Below are 20187 nucleotides of genomic sequence, written 5' to 3' on the forward strand. Positions count from 1 at the left end.
CACAGTGAGACCGTATCTCTACAAAAAATTAAAAAACTAGCCAGGTCTGGTGGCATGCACCTGTGGTCGGGGGAGAGGGTGAGGTGGGAGGACTGCTTGAGCCTGAGAAGTCAAGGCTGTAATGAGCCATCATTGTGCCCCTGCATTCCACTCTGGGCAACAAAGTAAGACCCTATCTCAAAAACAAAACAAAACAAACAAACAAAAAAACTGCAACAACTGTAGAACTGGCAATCTGAGTACCCACTGAATATTTGATTACATTAAAAAATTTTAGGTATGATAATGAGATTGTGGTAATTTTTAAAAATCTCATTATTTTTGATATATATACTGAAATGTACGCTGGGGGAAGTACAGATGAAACAAGTTTGGCCATCAGCTATTAATTGTGATGAGTACACAGGAATTCATAATTCTATCTACTCCTTGTATACTTGAAAATTCCCATTAAAACACATATTTCAAGGCCCACATGTGTATGGGGGTCATGCATTATCTCTTGCTTCTACAGCCTTTCATGATCTGACCAATGCCTACTTCTCCAGATTCACCTTCAACCATTCCCATTTGAAGGTGACACTTTCTGGCTTGACTAAGTGACATTTTCTTCCTCACAAATTCTTTCATCCCTTGGTGCTTTTTGCATATATTCTTCTCTCCTTGTGAACACCTATGCCCCTACTTGGCAAACTCTTATCTCCTATTGTTTACAAGCAGTCTTCTTGTGGTATAATAAAAAATATATCTGCTCTTTGTCCCCAGTTCTTGGCACAGAGTTTTAAAAGTCCTTATAAAAACAAGAGTGTAGAAGTATCTTTGTTATGCTAATGAGGTAGGTCAAGGTGGGCCCCAGATAGCTGCAGGATGGAGCTGATTATCAGAAACACCAAGCACATGATTAGAGGGTCAGGACTTTCAGGAACTTGACCTCCAGTGATGGGAGGGGCCTGGAAATTAAGTTGGATCATTGAAATCAATTTCGTATCAATGACTTAAAATTGTCCCTATATAATGAAACTCAAAAAAACTCTGGACTTCAAAGCTCAGAGAAAATTCCTGTTGGTTAACACATTGATGTGCCCAGAGGGTGAAATCCTGACTTCAGAGTGAAAGGGCATGGAAACTCTGCTCTTTCCCAGAACTTACCCTATGCGCTTTCTTTAAATAATACTGTAATAATAGATAAAGCAGTTTCCTAAGTACTATGAATCATTCTAGCAGATTACTGGATCTGAGGGGATCATGGGAATCCTCAAATTTGTAGCCTATTAATAAGTGAGAAGTGCAGGTGGCCTGGGTACTCTGAAAACTTGAAACTGGTATCTGAAGTGGTGACAATCTTACGGAGAACTTCGCCTTTAACCTGTGGGGTCTGTACTAACTCCAGGTAATTACTGTCAGAATACAAGTGCAGTATACTCAGTTGGTTTCAGATAAGTTGGATTAAAATGGAATGTTACCCTAAGTGAAAGATTCTTGGAGAAAAGATTTTATGGCTTTCTTGCTTTTTGTATACTTCAAAGTTAGTACAGTTACTGGCATAGAGCAAGTGCTCAAAAACAGTAACTGAACCAAACGGAATTCAGTTCTTTGCCTAATGAATTTACGATAAAAAATATATATATCCCAACCTAAAAGTCCCTAAATTACAATAAACAGGTAAGGAGGCACTTCCTGAATTTATACTGAAGTCCAGAATTTTAACTTACAGAATTGATTCTCGTTATTCGCGGTAGTTAGGTTTTATAAAGTTGCCACAAACACTGAACCATTGCTCCTAGGGGAAATACAGGGTTAGGTTCCTGCGAGCCTCTGGTCATAACATTTTCATAAACTGATCAATACCCAAGCTTCTTTTATGTGTGTTTCTGTTTAAAGATATCTTATTTAATATATATCATTGATTCACTAACATTGAATTCACAGCCAAAAGCATAACTCATCCCTGAGCAAAGCTTACCTAATACCAGTAATCATTAAGTATAGCATTTTTTTTTAGTTCTGTGTGTCATTCCAGCAATTTTTTTCCATAAAGCAGCCTTCTTGTGCTTACGAATACTAGACACTACCTTCAGCACTATGCTTGGGGGCCATTTTAAACAGCAAGATCACCAACGAAAAGCAAAATTGTAAAAAAATGTGGCCCTAAACAGATCATAAAAAGGAGATTTGTTTACAGTATGACAGCCGAAACAATAAGGCAGACTGTTGCCTTGTTAGACCTCAACCAGGAACATGCATGTATGGACCACTCAAATTTTTCGTCCCTGTCTATGTCCATGAATGACCATAAAAGCACTGATTTTGGAATTACAAATAAATTTTAGCAAGTAGGCAAATCACAAAACAAAATCCACAAATAATGAAGATGAGTGCATAACATTTAGAAGAACACTTATAAGAAATAACTCATATAAAAGAAAATGATCCAGAATAACTCATGTATAAAGACTAAAATTAGTTGTTCAGCTTTGAGAAATAATAATTAGTGAAAGAACTCTCAGTATAGGAAAAATTAGATTTTATTTAGAGCCCTATAGTAATGAAATATTTTAAGACACATTTTCTTATTTTTTTTTTCTGAGACAGAGTCTCACTCTGTCACCCAGGCTGGAGTGCGGTAGCACGATCTTGGCTGACTGCAAGCTCTGCCTCCCGGGTTCATGCCATTCTCCTGCCTCAGCCTCCCGAGTACCTAGGACTACTAGCGCCCGCCACCATGTCCGGCTAATTTTTTGTATTTTTTAGTAGAAATGGGGTTTCACCGTGTTAGCCAGGATGGTCTCCACCTCCTGACCTCATGATCTGCCCGCCTTGGCTTCCCAAAGTGCTGCGATTACAGGCGTGAGCCACCGCGCCTGGCCTTAAGACACATTTTCTTTTTAAATATACTCATATTTGTTAAATCTTATTTTGTAAACTCATTTCTCTAAAATGGCTTAGATTTATTACATTTCCTATGGGATAACTCAGGGTTATCTTTATTAGTGAGAATTATTGTTCAAAGTTGGAATCTAAGGATGCTCGATACTTTTAGGGTCACTTCTAGTCTGTTATTCACCTACCCATTCATTCATTTATCAGTCACTTAGGGAGAACCTTCTGTATTCAGATACTCTGCTAGGCAGAGGAGATATAATCACAACCAATTAAAGCCAAAGCCTTTGCCTTTTTGATGGTTATATTCCAGTTGGGGTAAAATTTAACCAATTAAATAGTGAAAAATAAATTGTCATACCACATGAAAGAATGAAACAAGTGGTGAAAATGTGAGAGACAGCCTTAGATATTAGGTGAGGAAAAACTTCTCTGAGACATTTAACCAGCAACCTAAAGAATGAGAAAACAGAAGAAGAGCATTTCAGGCAGAGAACACCAAATCCAAAAGCACAGAGGCATGAAAGAACATAGGACATTACAGTAACTAAAAGGCAATGAGGCAAGAGCTTCAAGGAGAAACATAAGAGGGGACTGAAGAGGTAAGAAGGGAACAGATCATGCAAAGGCTAATAGGTCATAGTATGGACTTCAGATTTTATGCTAAATAATGGTCTCAAAGCAATGTAGATAAATAATTTGATTCACATTTTAAGATCCCTTTGGTTGTTCTGTGAATTAGAGGGAGACAAGGGCAGTGAATCAACAGGTCTTGCTGATGGACTAAAGGTAGAGAGTGAACAAAAGTAAGCAATAAAGGATAATATCTACATTTCTGATTTGAAGATGATGGTACCTTTTCTGATATGGAAGAGATCAGGAAGAAATCAAGAACTTAAAAATGCTGAGTTTTAAGTACCCATGAGACATCAAGTAAAAGTGACAGGGCAACTAGATATTAGAATCTGCAGTTCAGAGATAATTTGAGGTGATTACATAATTGTGGCACCTAAATCCATAGGGATTAATAAAACCAACTAAAAAGGAACTAAAAGATAGTATAACACTAGTTAATGAGAAAGTGAAAAAGTAAAGTTTATGTAGACAACATTTCAACAAAGTTGGCTACAAAGGGAAATAGAGGAATGGCCAAAAACTAAGAAATGGATATGGAGGGGCTTTGTTTTTTAAGGGGGAGAGAGGTAGGGCTGTGACTTCTTTATTCGTTGTTGTTACTTTAAATGGGAGAAGTTTAAAAAAAAAGTGTGTGTGGTAACAGGAATAATCCAACTGAAATGGAGCAGGTGATAAAATACATTTTACAAATTTAAAGATAAAGAAGAGGGGCTGCACATTTAACCAGAGTTGTGGTTTGGTAGTATACAGATGAGAGTGATGGGCGCTTGTTTCAAGAGCTTAGGGTGAGGCTGAGGTACAGATGCTTAAGTTTTGGAGAGAAAGGATTTAGGTTGAAAAAGTTGTCTGAGAAGTACAGCATACAAACTCTGCCAGGCAGTATAAAGCAGCCATCTAAGGTCTGTGATCATAGATTCCAAGTAAAACCTACAAGTACAGTTTCACAATTTTCTTTAGCAGTCAGTGTTGCATATACAGTTTGATTCCACATAGCATGGTTCCCAGCTACTACATTTTGTATTCTGGTCTCAATTTCCAGTCTTTTCCTTTGGTATTAAGTGGTATGTCTATCTCAATAAAATGACGGCCTGCTTGCAACTGCTGCACTATGCTTGCCTTTCTAATATGGGCTTGGAAGACAGATACAGATATAAAAGTCATTAGAATGTAGCATGTAGAATGTACTCTTTTTGAAATGGGAAAAAATATATTTCTTAGAAAATTGAGAGTAAGTATTAACAGAATCTCACTTAAAAACTCAGTTGGGTGTGGTGGCTCACACCTGTAATCCCAACACGTTGGGAGGCTAAGGCAGGAGGATTGCTTGAGCCTAGGAGTTTGAAACCAGCCTGGGCAACATAGCAAGATCCTGTCTCTAAGATAAATAAATAAGCCTTTCATATTTAAGTTAAATATACAACTTTCAGTACATAGCTTTTACTTTGGCTACTTGGTGGCTTTTTTCACTTATGCTCAGATTATCTGCAGTGACTCTGATAATAAAGCCAATCTGATACTGTACTCTACTAAATTAATTTCTCAATGATCATTCTTATATAAACCTCTAATATAAAATATTATCAGACAACTACAACTCTTACTAAAACAGTTCAACACTGAAAAAATATGTAGCAGAAAATATAGAATGTCCTGACCTAGACTTTATTTTTAAAATTTAAGTAGCATTTATAGTGCTTTAGAAATTTTAAGAAATAAAACTTTTAGAAATTTAAAATAGAAACCTAAATGTGAGCAAACACAGAAAAGCACAGTTTTAATAGCACAAGCTAAATAAGCTTTAATACATAATCATATAAAACTCTATTTCATGATATACAACATAGGTCACTGCTATAGACTGAATGTTTATGGTCCCCACCCCCCTCAAATTCTTGTGTTGAAATCTAATCCCCAGTGTGATGGTATCTGGAGGTGGGAACTTTCAGGAGTTTCTAGTTCGTGAGAGTGGAGCCCTCATTAATAGGATTATTGCCCTTTTAAAAGGAGGTCAGAGAACTAGCTTGTTCTCTTTCCACCAGGTGGTGATACAAGAAGTAAGCAGTCTGCAACCTGAGAGAGGGTCCTTACCAGAACCTGACCATACTAGCATGCTGACCTCAGACTTCCAGCCCCCAGAACTGAGAAATACATTTCTGCTGTTGAGAAGCCATCCAGTCTATGGTACTTTGTAATAGCAGCCCTAACCTACTAAAACAGTCACTAATGACAGTTTTAGTCTCCATTCTAAATCTATAATTTTGACCAGTGGAGGGGAGGCTTAAGCAAAAACAAATACCACTTAAAACCTAGACAATCTTTCAGCGCAAGTAGCTAAAATGCTATTTGTTGTACACATTATATACACTTGTTAGAAATTTTGATAGAATATCATGAACATTCTGGAACTGGAAGTTAAAAAAGCTAAGGCGAGGAGAGCAAGGACTCAGGCATTCCGTTAAGGGTAGTAGCTGAAGGTTTAAATTTTTCCCTTAGGTCATAGGTCCCACCTACTGTGCATCTGAATGGTAGGTTTCTCTCATCAAAGGGAACTTGCAGATTACTGGATCAGGCAACATGCAATAAAGAACAGGCAAAAAGAATTAGAGCAATTGGATATGAAGGTGTTATAACACCCTCTTTAACCGATATGGGATGAGACAAAAATCAGAATAAATCTGACCATAATATATTTTCAGTGAGGGACTTATGAAGGGAAGCAGCAGACCAAACTAGACTTCAGAAGATAAAGGGGTAGAGAAAAACGCATGAGGTTTGAACTGAGCAATTAGAAAAAACAGAAAGCAGGTTCAGCAAGGAAGCTATCACAGAGAAAAAGCAGTATCCTACTCCTCATGCAAAACCCACTATTCAAATGTACAAAGAATATAACCTAACACTTACCTCTCCAAGAAAAGAGGGGCCAAGCAAACTTCAAAACAAAAAGGAACTTTTATTACAATACAAAGTAGTGAATACTTTGGCTACAAATCAGTGGTATATGGGACATGATAAGAACGTCTTTAACTGATATGACCAACTGTTAGAACAAGTGTTCCTTATATGAGGGAAAGCAGTTCACAACAGAGAAACAACTTCTAAGGATTTTTGTTCCCTTTTAGGAAGGAAAGAGAAAGAGACAGTGTGAGGGCATTAGATTCTTAAACTCTACTTAATACTTAGCATGCTTTTGGTAATCAAATGCTGATGTGCCTTTTAATTTAATTTAAAATAAAAGCTGATTATGTTGTCATGGAGAATCCATAAGAACATAGCAAGTGAACTGCATACTACTTATAACCTATAGGATATATTCTAAAAGACGAAGTATGGCTTGAAAAACAAAATAGAAAAGGAAAATAATTTAAATAAATTACTCCGTAAACTGCCAACAAAAGTCACAGTGATTGTAGAAAAGTTGTATTTGTCTCCCCAACCAAATTTAAAACTCTATTCAAGTATGACAGTTCCAGGACAAGATGTGGAACTGATGAGCAGCCATAAATCACATAAATACTAGACTGTGAATCAGACTTTCAGGATAAGAGGTCTGGATCTGTTTCATTTATCAGTGTGTGAAACTGAGTAAATCATTTAAAACTTGTTTTGTCATTTGTAAAAATGGAGATAATATCACCTATGGCAGAAAGTAACTAGGTACTCACCAATCTTGTTTTTTATACCATAAGTATTATTTCCCAGCCTCCCCTGCACTTTGGCCAGAACTAGTCACAAGGCCCCAGCCTATGTAATGTGGGCAAAAATGATGTATCTACTTCTAAGTTTGACACTTAAGAATCTCCTGAAAGATCCACAGCTCACTCTCTCTTCACTCACCAACTGGCACAGCAATCTAGCAGGGGACTCCAAGGTAGCAGGGGGAACAGAGGAGTCCTAAGGGAAGAAGGATAGCTCAGAGGATAGCTGAGCCCTTGAGTCATCATTTTGTGAGGGACCTACCTGGAGAGCTGCCCAATCCCTTTCTGATTCCCCATTTTGACCCTGCTTCCTGTCTGAAGAAACTGAGAAACTTCCATTAATTTTATAACACTGAGATTTTGGAAGTTGTAACATATCACCACACCTCCCTAGCTCAATGAACAGATCTAAATGAAACAAAACATTTAAAAAATTGTATCAGTATAAAATTTTAAACAATTATAAGGGTAATATTAATAGAGTTAAACCAGACTACTATACAGTTTCTTTTAAAAAAAAAGTTTAAAAGAACAGTCTAAAAAAAATACTAATAGCAATATGTGTTATTTAACAAGAGCTACAAAATTAGTCAATTTTTTAATATTAAAAATCAACAAACTAATTTGTAAGTAAAAGCTGCTTATTCCTTCAAGTATAATTGCTTATTTTGTCAAGGTATTAACTCTTTCAGGAAAATGGCTTACTCATTAAGTCGACATACAATTGTCCCCAGGTATCTGAGGGAAACTGGGGGTAGGTGGGGGACCATCCAATGCCCCCAACACCCCTTCCAGAATACCAAAATCCAAAGATGCTAAAACTCCTTATACAAAAGTTTTTATTTGCATAAAAACTACGCACATTCTCCTTTATATATTAAATAATCTCTAGGTTTCTCATAATACCTAATACAACACAGATGCTATATAGCTTTTATAGTGTATGTTTTTAACTTAAACTTGTATTTTTTTTCTGAGTATTTTTGATCCATGATTGGCTGAATCCAGAAATATGGAGGGCGAACTGCACTACAATCGGCTGCAACTTCAAACTCTCCATTTCAAAGGGAAAGAGGTCAATGAGAGACAGGACAGATTAATTGACACCAAAAGAGAAGCCATAACAAAAAAAAAAGAACATTTATTTACAATTTAGGATACCAATGGAATAAATGAATATTAACATGATATACACAGAAACAAATTTCTTCTGTCATACTCATGATTAATCTCTCATGTTATCTACACATCTATTTACTTGAATAGTTCTTTTAAATAGTTCTATTCAATATAGTCACTCCCAAGCCATCCTACACTATTCATAGTTGTAAAAAAAAATTCATGATCCTCTCCTTAAATTCCTTTAAGCACTTTATAGACCCTAAAGAATGCCCTCGGATTTCTCTCTTCAACCCAACTGCATCATATGATTTAAAATGCAAACTGTCATTTCTGATCAGTAATATTTTTACATAGGCAATTTATAATTTTAGGTTTTTTTCTATTAAAACAGAATTATTATATATTACAAAAGGCTCATAAAATAATAATTATGCCAAAAGGATAAAATCAATAATCTTATTCGATTGAGATAAATGACAACATGACCTCAAAATTTCAGGACTTAACATTAAAAAAGGTAGATAATCTTAAAAACAAAACAAAACAAAATTGAGAGGAAATGAAACTACCTATAGCAGAAAAGTAACCACTACTAGACTTTCTCGATATCCTTAGAACCTGATATGGCATTACAGGCAGCATTAATTAACACAAAAGTTAATCCATTTACAAAAGCAAGTCAAGATCACAAAGAAAACCAATTTCGTGTTTCTTTTTAAAGGCTGAGCTTACTCTCAAATTATCTATGTATATTACGACACATTCTGATCAGAAAAAGATTTTAAATATAAATCTTCCAATATTAATAAAGATAATCAGCTTTTTGATCTCTCAGGCTTTAGTTTTCACTAGTGAGTATAAATTTTATAGAAATAGATGGAAAACAGAATATGTAACAAGATGAAAATGCATGTACACTAAAATGGGACAAGATTGTCAAGGTCTTTACAGACAAAGGAGATAAGGAAGTGACATTACATCATAAACATAGTTTAGAAACACGCAATTCTCAAGAGAAAGTAAGCTGCCTTAATGTATGTTACTTAGTTTACTGAGACCCTTTTTACTTCAAATTAATGATAATTTGCCCAGCTCATGTTCATCTTTTCCTGATCTTCGAAAATGGTTTTGCTAAGCTAAATCAGTAAACAAGATTGCACAGGCATATTAAGCCTACACAGTAAAAAAATAGTTAAAGATTATTTTCACTTATTTTACACTTTACCAAAACTTTAGCCATTATTTATTTTGTTCCTCAAAATGTGCATTTGTGAACAGCTCTCTCACACATTCAGTATACACACACACACCTGTGTATCACATTGTTCCAAAAAAATTTTAAAGCAGTCTGAATAATATTTTTCAATATTAAACATCAATATGGAAAAAGTAGAAAGCACAGAGAAGAATACAAATAATTTAAAATAGAAAATAAATTATGTGAAGGAAATTTAAGCTTTGTAAATGGGATGACCCTGAATGAAAAGCGTATTTGTCTTGTAGAACATGAAATCATTACTAGGACAGGTATCCATTGTTTTTCTAACTTCAATAGGCCTAACCAAAAGAAAGCAGTAACAAAATTTGGTTATTTAACTGAAATGAACAATTGAAATAAATAGTCATGGTACCAAATTTATCACTTACCTTTCACAACTACACAGGATTTTGGCATGTATTTCTGTGTGCAGACTTTCCTTGATTTCTCCCCACTGTATCTATACCTATACTTTTTTAATCTAATTTTGTTGAGGGGTGGGAGGTACATGTTTCAGCAAGCCTACTTAGCTCCTTTGTGGAAGGAGTAGGGATTGTGAGCCTATGGTGTAGTAGACAAAATTAAAATCCCACAACATAACTTTATCCCCCTCCTTGCTAAATTAAACAGTTTAAAATTCTTTGCAGTAAAACTATGAACTCCTAATATCTGTATTATAATAAATTCTGGACTGAGCCACCAATAGAATATATGCTTTCAGTATTTTCTTCGAACAATAGCAAAAATACTTAAGCACTTGGATTTACAATTTCTCACCCCCTTGTTGATCAAATTTTTTAAAGGTAATTAGAAAAATATGTGGTGTTTTCAGTGCCCACAGACCGAAAAAGAAAGAAGGTAGGGGTGGGAGGACTGAATTCTTGTCCATGACCCTATTACCTTTGTGCTAAACAGATAAACTACTAATATCTCAAACTAAGAGTAATAAGGAAGCTATAATGAGGCAATCCCAGAACTTTGGGAAGCCAAGGTGGGAGGATTTGCTTGAAGCCAGGAGTTGAAGAATAGCCTGGGCAACATAGCAAGGTCTTGTCTCCAAAAAAAAAAAATTAATTTTTTAAGAGAAATAAGAAAGCTAGATTTTTCTTATGACTTCCTTTTGTTAAAGTTTTAGAAACAGTAACTAGGAATTTAATCAGTTTGGTAAACTAGAGATTGAAAGTGTCAGTTGAAATCAGCCTATCCTTGCCTTACCTGCCATTACAGAGTAGCCATCGAGCAAGAGAATAGTGAGGTATAATCTTCTGCATGACACTGGCCATCACCATGGTAACAACCAGCTGTATACCTATCACACCCTGTGTAAAAAAAACAAACAAATTTAATAATGAATGATTTTGGATTTGGGGACATTGCTGGAAAACTTTCTGTACATTTTGAAAATTACATTTTAAGAAAAATGAGTTTACTATTAAAATACATTACTCTCAGCCCTCCATATCTGCAGGCTCCACAACTGCAGATCAAAAATATGCAGGAAAAAAATACAGTAAAAAATAATACAATTAAAAATATACTACAAATTTTAAAAATAGAGTATAACTATTAACATAGCATTTACATTGTATTAGGTATTATAAGTAATCTAGAGACGATTTCAAGTATATAGGAGGACGTGCATAGGTTATATGCAAATACTATGTCATTTTATATAAGGGACTTGAGCATCCTCAGATTTTGGTATGGGGTGGTCCTGGGACAAATCCCCTGTGTAGACACTGAGGGACAACTGTTAAATTCTGGCAATTAGGTATTCAAGATCACATAGTCTAATATAAACTTAAAATGAATTAGTATACACATCTATAATCTATTCTCAAGAAATGTTCTGCATAAATTAAGGATATCAAAATGAAGTGGAAAGCGATTTCTTCATCCTTCTCCAATTTACTCTACACACTAAAAACATTAGCTTGACAAGCTTTAAAAGTAATATGCCTGGTTTTAATCCTAGGTGGTAGTGATCACAAACCATTAACTATACGAAGTGTGATGGCAGAACTGGCCTGAAAGTCACTAATAAAGAAAACTGAACTCATGCTGTTACCACCCACTTCCAGTGAATGGGTCTTAATGTCCAACAATCCTCTTAGTTTACTCTCATCAATCCTTCCCATATTCTCCATGATGGCTAATTCAAACCTTCTTTCCTCTCTTCACATCTCCAACCCCCTTCAAACGTCTAACTCTCCACTCGGTAGAGGACATCTACTTTACAGGAAAAATAGATACAATCAAATGGGAACCCTCTCACTTCCCACCAATAAGCTCACAAAGTCACTTATATCTACATCTGTCTTTTCTTAGACCCCAGAAATAATAGAGCATCTTCTATAGAAAGCAAATCTCTCTATCTGTGCTTTAGAGCCCACTTTCTTTGATTTTCAGGAACTTCCGCTATTGAATAGTCTTCCTCTATCTTCTTTAATCTCTTTTCTATTTTGAATCCTTCCTATCAGCATTGTGTAATACCTGTAAGTCTCTTTCATTTTTTCTAGAGAATAACAGTAATTTCCCCGTTCGACAGCCTTCTCTCAACCTCATATTCACAGCCACTTTTCAAGACTTGTTCTCACTGTTTCCATTTTCTCATATCTCCCACACAGTATCCATCTGATTTCTACTTCAGCATATTCCACTGAAACATATACCATAAAGGAAGATTCACTCCATCTTGACAAATTATTTTTCCTCAACTTAAATCTCAGCAGTATCCTACATGGTACACCATATTCCTTGCTTTATTACTACATTGATGATCAATCCTTTATCCTCCCATTTGCTGGCTCTTCCTCTAGCCAAGTACTCCAAAAATAAAGTTGAATTCCTACCTCAAACCTTCTATACCAAAAAAGCACTTAAAAATGTTAAAAAATTTAAGAAGAAAAAACAGTATGCCTATTGGTTTAAGAGAATGGATTCTGAACCCAAACTGCATGAGTTAGAAGCTGGTCTCCATCACCCACTAGCTACATGACTTTGGACATGTTATTTAATCAAACATTCTGCAAGTCTAGTTCCCCTTCTATAAAATTGAGTTAGAAATTCCATCTACTTCATCAAGCTGTGATTAGAAATTGTGCCTGGTACAGAGTTATGTTAGTACTATTTGTTTTTATTGTCACTGTTATTATCACTACTAGAAGACACAATTTTTCTTATGATGTCAAGAATAAAGACTTTCAAAAAGAGACAGCAGTCTCCTAAATGATAAAAGAAGATCAAAACAAGTTGAAAAAAATAAAATAAAATTTCTGCATGAAGAAACTATAATATAAACAATGTAAAAAGATAAACTGGGGAAAAGTAGAACTCACCAAAAAGAGCTAATTTACTTATTGGATATTATAGAGATTATAAATTAATTAGTAAAAGATCAATTGCCTAATTTAAAAAAGAAAAAATATGTACAGACAGTTCTCAAAAAAGAAATTAAAAATGGTTCTTAAACAGGACCATTTTACTTATTTATTTAACTTTTATTTTAGGTTCAGGGATATGTGTGCAGGTTTGTTATATAGGTAAATTGCATGTCACAGTGGTCTGGGGTACAAATTATTTCATCACCTAGGTAATGAGCATAGTACCTGATAGGTAGTTTTTCAGTCATCACCCTCCTCCTACCTTCCATCCTCAAGTAGGCCCTAGTGTATGTTGTTCCCTTCTTTGTGTTAATGTGTACTCAGTGTTTAGCTCTCACTTATAAATGAAAACATGCGGTATTTGGTTTTCTGTTCCTGCATAAGTTTGCTTAGGATAAAGGCCTCAAACTCCATCCATGTTGCTTCAAAGGAAATGATCCCATTCTTTTAATGGCTGGATAGTATTCCATGGTATATATGTATTTAATACCACATTTTCTTTATCCAGTCTACCACTGATGGGCATTTAGGTTGATTCCATGTCTTTGCTATTGTGAATAGTGCTGCAATGAACATACACATGCATGTGTGTTTACAGTAGAATGATTTATAGTCCTTCGAATGTATATCCAATAATGGGATTACTGGGTCAAATGGTAATCTGTTTTAAGTTATTTGAGAAGTCGCCAAACTGCTTTGCACAATGGCTGAACTAATTTGCATTCCCACCAGCAGAGCATAAGTGATTCCTTATCTCCATAACCTCACCAGCATCTGCTATTTTTGACTTTTTATTAACAGCCACCTTGACTGGTGTGAGATGGTATCTCACTGTGGTTTTGATTTACATTTCTCTAATGATTAGTGATGTTTAGCATTTTTTCATATGTTTGTTGGCCACATAAATGTCTCCATTTGAAAGGTGTCTGTTTGTGTTCCTTGCCCACTTTTTTTGAAAGGTATCTGTTCATGTCCTTTGCCCACTTTTTGATTGGGTTGTCTGGTTTTTGCTTGTAAATTTGTTTAAGTTCCTTATACATTCAGAATATTACACCTTTGCCAGATCCATAGTTTGCAAATATTTTCTCATTCTGCAGGTTGTCTGTTGTTTGTTGATAGTTTCCTTTACTGTGCAGAAGCTCTTTAAAAGAGTATAATTAGGTCCCATCTGCCAATTTTTGTTATTGCTGCAATTGCTTTTGGCATCTTTGTCAGGAAGTCTTTCCCAGGTCTTATGTCCAGGATAGTATTTCCCAGGTTATCTTCCAGGGTTTTTATTGGTTTTTGATTTTAGGTTTAAGTTTTTAATCCATCTGAAGTTGATTTTTGTACATGGTGTAAGGAAGGGGTCTAGCTTTAATCATCTGCATATGGCTTGCCAGTTATCCCAGTACGATTTACTGTGCAGGAAATCTTTCCCCATTGCTTGTTTTTGTTGATTTTGTCAAAGATCACATGGTTGCAGGTGTGTGGCATTATTTCTGAGTTCCCTATGCTGCTCCATAGGCCTATGTGTCTATTTTTGTACCACTACCACAACGTTTTGGTTACTATAGCCTTGTGGTATAATTTGAAGTCGAGTAATGTGATGCCTCCAGCTTTGCTTTTTTTTTTTTTTTTGCTTAGGAGTGCCATAGCTATTTGAGCTTTTTTGGTTCCATATGAATTTTAAAATAGTTTTTTCTAATTCTGTGAAGAATGTCATTGGCAGTTTTGATAGGAATAGCACTGAATCTGCACATTGCTTTGGGCAGTATGGCCATTTGGACAATATTAATTCTTCCTATCCAAGAGCATGGAATTCTTTTCCATTTGTTTATGTTATCTCTGATTTCTTTGAGCAGTATTTTGTAATTCCGGTTATACAGGTCTTTCACCTCCTTAGTTAGCTGTAATCCTAGGAATTTTATTCTTTTTGTGGCTATTGTGAGTCAGATTGCATTCGTGACCTGGCTCTCAACTTGGAGTTGATGTATAGGAATGCTACTGATTTTTATACATTGATTTTTTGTTCTGAAACTTTGCTCAAGTTGTGTGTCAGATTAAGGAGCTTTTGGGCACAGACTGTGGGGTTTTCTAGATATGGAATCATGTCATTTGCAAACGGGATAAAAAGAACAAAACTAGAGGTATCATGTTACCCAACTGTTTTTAAAATGTCTACCAAACCTGACTCAACTATGGTTTTATTTGTGGATATTTTAATGTCTTAAACTCTATCAACTAGGTTAAAGTTCAGTTCATTTTTCTACTGACCTAACATCAAAGGTTGCATTTTTTACCCTTTTCTTTCACATTTCCTATCATTTGAATTTACTATCCTATTTTCTGTGAGTTTCTGATAGAAGTTCTACAATCTCCATTCAATGAATGCCATTACAAAGAACTCTTTCAGGCAGAACAAGACCAAGAAATACATTAGTAAGTATGCCAGAAGGTTGGTCTACCTGAGATTACAGACTTAAAAGCAAGAGATCATTTTGTAGTCATGGGAAGTTTTGTAAACAATGGCAACATCAACCTAGCTTTGAAAGAACTAACAGCATTACACGGAATCTTCAAGGTCATAATTCAGTAAAATCTCTCACAAACATATATAATAATTTATTAAAAGTATATGATTTCTGCTCCTTAACAGCAAAAATTATGTCTCAGTCACAACTACTAGTTATAACTGTTAAATGGTATTTCAGAAAGACTGACCTGGAAGATACATATGAGGCAGTATATAAACTGGGGAAGAGGGCATCTTGCCCAACTCTCCCCTTCCTCCAAATCACCAAACATGATGAGATACTGTTGACAGATATACCTTTAAAGATGTAAATTTATGTTAAGGCAAAAACAAACAAGCAAAAATCAGTGAGCTGGATTGACTAGAATTAGGAAATACCAACTAGCTTTCTGTAATAATCCAGACAAGAAATTATGAAACTTTAAATTACAGTGGTATCTTCAGTACCCAGAAGAGAAATACATTTTAGAGACATTGTTGAAGAACTCAGAGACTGATCAAACATAAAAGCAAAGAAGAAATTAAACAGAATGACCCAAAGAAAGGCAAACATCATAGTACATTCTCAGTGTTAATGTTTGACTAAAATAATGTTCAATACAAAAATGTAACCTCACTCTATCTCTTTACTATGCCATTTCCCTCTTCTTAAATGAGGCTGAAAATAATTTCCCAAAACATCATCTGAATACTATGCTAAATAAATATATTATTATATTCTTCTATATAAGTCAACAGATCTATCCTACAATGTATCTGCTCTTAGGTGACTAAATATGTGCTACTGAAAAAAAAAAGTAACTTTTATACCAATACAGGAATCTAATCTACATAAGTTTTTGGAGAGATAATTTTTAAATTATGTGGAAAATATTTCACCAGTTGCTCCTTTTCATGTAAATTTAAAAACGAATCCTCAGAATATACTTTCAAAATAGCAATCATTTTAGAGAATTATATGTATTATCAATTTAATATATTATTAATGTTGAACTTAAAATCAATTTTTAAGATATTACTATGCAATTGACAATTACAGTGTACATGCCAGGGATTAATGTATTAATGTATAAAGTAGCCAGTTCATTAACTAAGAAACACAATCATTTAAAATTCAAAAACAAACCATTCTAATAACCTGTCTTCACCAACCAATTTAGTGTCACTGTATAAGTTTATACAAAAGCAGAACTTTGAAATGTTCAAATATCAAATATCCTGAATATTCTTCATAATTTTTAATTAAAGGAGAATGCTTGAATAAATTTATCCATAATCTTAAACATAAATTTCACAATAGAAAACTGGTCAAATGAGCAGAGATGCAATGAAAATACCAAGTCTATCATGGCTGAGGTCTCAAACACACAACCATATGGGTCATTGATTCAAGTAGCCTTAATGGTTTTATTAACGCTTCAAAACAATAACTGACCAAAGAGATGGTTTCTGTCTGGATTCAATGCCTCTAGGCACTGATTCTCTTGATAACTGGAACTGGGGAAAGCCATTTAAAAAAATAGCTCATAAGCACCCAAGAAGGGTGAAACATTGGGGTAACTTAGGTTTCAACCTTTCCACATCTATTAACCTAAGGCCATGAAGAGCAAGAAAAACTTATCTGCCTTTAGTCTCTAGAAGAATGATCCTTACAATTGTTGTCAGTAATAGTTTCTTGGAAGGTTACAAAAATTCTTAACAAGAAAAATTAAACAATTCTCCAAGAAATAAAATGTACCCAAATAACAGTATTTTGTCTTGCTTTATTAATACTGAAAATAAAACTCTAAAAACTTAAATACAAACGTGCTGCAATTTATAAATTCAAACTTTGAGTACTGTGTCAACCTCAAGAGTTGACATTTATGTTTCATTAAACTAGCTCTCCTGCTGACAGATCAAAACAAAGCATACATTGTTTACTACTGAAAGGCATATCTGCATATATACTTGGGACTCAGACCACCCCAAATGGTTTCAGTTATCTCCCTAAATATGTTAGAAAAGAGAAAATAAAAAAGAGGATATTATATCCCAATGACCTTCCTATTCATTTGTTTCTTGACTGTTTACATGTTTTAGAGACAGCAAGATATGTTGAGACAGACTTCTTAGGGATGCTCATATAATTTATACTCCAAAAGAAGATGTAAACTGCCATTTCAACCCAAGTTCACATAAAACTTAGAATTCACACTAGATGTATTTAAACAAACCATCTTTGAACAATTTATGTATAAGGAAAACAGGGTCCAAACAACAAACATCACTCAACTACCCGGTTACTGATGTATCTGGCACCCAGACAATTTCCAACTCAATGCTTTTTTCACCGGTCTATTTGGTGTATTCAATGAACATTTATTGAACAACAAACTACATGTGTGGGGCACTGGACCACTAACAATGGGGGAAAAGCACACATTACAATACAATTGTAAAGGTACTGCAACTGTAATTGCTTACAATACAATGTAATAAGACAGGAAGAGGATTCTATGAGAAATTATTGAGAGCAAAAAGGTGTAAAAGGGCATTTTGGAAGGTAATGCATGAGTCAAGACACAGTGGACTGAAGTTTTGAGAATCATCGGTGATATCTGCCTCACATGGAAAGATCCAGATAAAAATCAAGGATCCCATTTTTACACCAAATCCTGGGTCCCCAAAAGACAGAAACACTACAGAACAAAATAGTGAATTTAACTGCAAGGACATTTTTCCAAGGCTGGTGGCCAGCCCCAAGCCAATCAGCCCATTCTTCCCACAGGAGTCTTACTTCTCAGCGGGAGGTAGGATGTTTCCATACCTTCCAGGTGGTCAAAAGCATGCTTTTCTTATCTAAACATGCAAAAACCTGAATATCCCCTACGTAACTGCCATTAGCCATCCCTAAAAGTATATCGCCTACCTAGCTATTACACACCAAGCTAAAAGTTCTCTCATAATGCCAAGTAATTTCTGATGTCCCCAAAAGTAAAAAAAGTCAGATAACACTACACAAAACAGAGCAGCAACTTTGATTCTGAGAGGGATCGCTCTGCTTACAATTCTTGCGGTTCCATGAGGAAAACAGAGATTTCTTCCAAAATTGTGGTACCTCTGTTTTTCCCAGGGAGACCCAGGCTGCTAGAAATTGCCTTAGGTTATCTCATGTGGGCATCATGGGTAGTAAGAGGACAGACAGAAGCAAATGGAGAAACAATTCAGTCGACTGAGAAAAAAAAAAAAAAAAACAACTTTTCCTCAAAAAAACAAGATCCAAGAAGACAAAAAAGCTTATAAAGGCCTTTTAAATATATGTATAGCTTACCTACCAGCTTTTAATTAACCTGACTTTTAACCATAGAGCTCTTTTAAGGAAATCCTTTTAAATCTCTGTTTACCACACTCTAGCCAGGACAAACAGATGACACCTCTGGCTTTTAAGCCTTCTTTTTTTTCCCCAGTAAGCCTTAACTAAGATTATGACTTAACCACTGACACATTAGGTATTTCCAAAGAAATGGAAAGTGGTTTTACAAATGGCAAAAGTAGCACAAAGAAAGGAAAGTTTTGCCACGCAAACTGGGTACAACTCACATTTAGGTCTGGCCACATTCTCCAGAGTCTCAGTTTCCCAGCTAACCATCTACATACAAAGGCCTCAAAGCCCTGTATGCCCTCCACAGAAAGAAAGCAGGAAATGGAAAGCTGTCCATGGGAGGGAAAAGGGTCAATAAGAGGCAAAATGTCTCATAAATGTCAAACCAGAAAGGACTCAGTCCCTAAGCCAGGTATTGAATCCAGGCCATCATCACAAAAGGTAAAAGCCTTAGCTACTGAGCTTCAGTGCTGGGCAGTCACCATTACTCTTCCCAGAAGGAGCCTAGCACAGTCATTTTTGAGCTTGCAAAGCATTTCTAACTGCACAAGGGGATTCTCAAGGCTAGTCATGACACTGTTATTTAACCTCTTTTCAATTGTTTGGAATACAAGATTTCTAAAATCTTTTTTTCTTTCAATCTTGCACGTAGTTCCAATGGCAACTCAACCCAAAAACTTTTTTTAAAACTCAGATCGTAATTTTCCAGGTTTTTACCATATAAGCAAGAGGTATTTCCAGAGAAGGAGTAGAGGAAGCATCCCTACTCCCCAGAATTATTATCCCCAATAATTCTCTCAGAAAGAATGGGCTTAAGATAGCAAAAGACAATAAAAGGCCCATAGGGATGGGACCTTTTAAGACAAAACTCACTGAAGGACTGGATACACTGGGGCCGAAAGTGTGCTGGCCTTTCTCAGACTTCCAGTCCTTTCAGATCAGCTGTTTCACATGAACCCCAAAACTCCCACCTCCAGATGGCAGAGACCAAGGGAGTATCCCCACGTGGTCACAAAGTCAAGCTCCAAGGACACAGAAGAAGACAAGAGGGAAACCTCATCCCATTTTTGCCTCAGGAACCCACAACAAAGTTTTAACTAACCAATCTGCAGGGCCAGCTGGACCAGCAGGCTTGCAGGGGTCCTATATCTATGTTCTATCCTATGGTATCTTTCACCATGATAGAACAACACAGAAAGACACCAGATTCATTACAGCCTAAGACTAGACTCATAAATCTTTTTTCCCATTAATCAAAATCTTGCAAAGGAGACAAACAGTGATTTTTACCATTCACTCTGCCAGTTTGCACAGAGAGAGAGAAAGAGAGAGAA

General features: G+C 35.6%; 1 protein-coding gene across 20 annotated transcripts in view; it reads right to left on the minus strand.

Annotated features, from left to right (window-relative positions):
• The window catches only part of TMEM161B (transmembrane protein 161B), an 83276-nt gene that overhangs the window by 44437 nt on the left and 18652 nt on the right, over positions 1-20187 (minus strand). For 11 of the 20 annotated variants that reach the window (NR_110266.2, NM_001349407.2, NM_001289007.2 and 8 more), the window contains one exon: positions 10807-10910. The exons of 5 other annotated variants lie outside the window; for them this stretch is intronic. Coding sequence is in view for 10 of the 15 variants with exons in the window: in NM_001349407.2 (NP_001336336.1) it covers positions 10807-10910 (104 nt within the window). In the remaining 5 variants the exon portion in view is untranslated. Of the gene's footprint in view, positions 1-1712; positions 10751-10806; positions 10911-15677; positions 20176-20187 lie in introns of those variants that run through there. 4 more of the 20 variants (XR_002959844.2, XM_024454373.2, XM_024454376.2 and 1 more) reach the window with 4 other exon arrangements.

The sequence above is a fragment of the Homo sapiens genome, chromosome 5 (genome assembly GCF_000001405.40).
Source record: "Homo sapiens chromosome 5, GRCh38.p14 Primary Assembly".
Taxonomy (NCBI): Eukaryota; Metazoa; Chordata; class Mammalia; order Primates; family Hominidae; genus Homo; species Homo sapiens.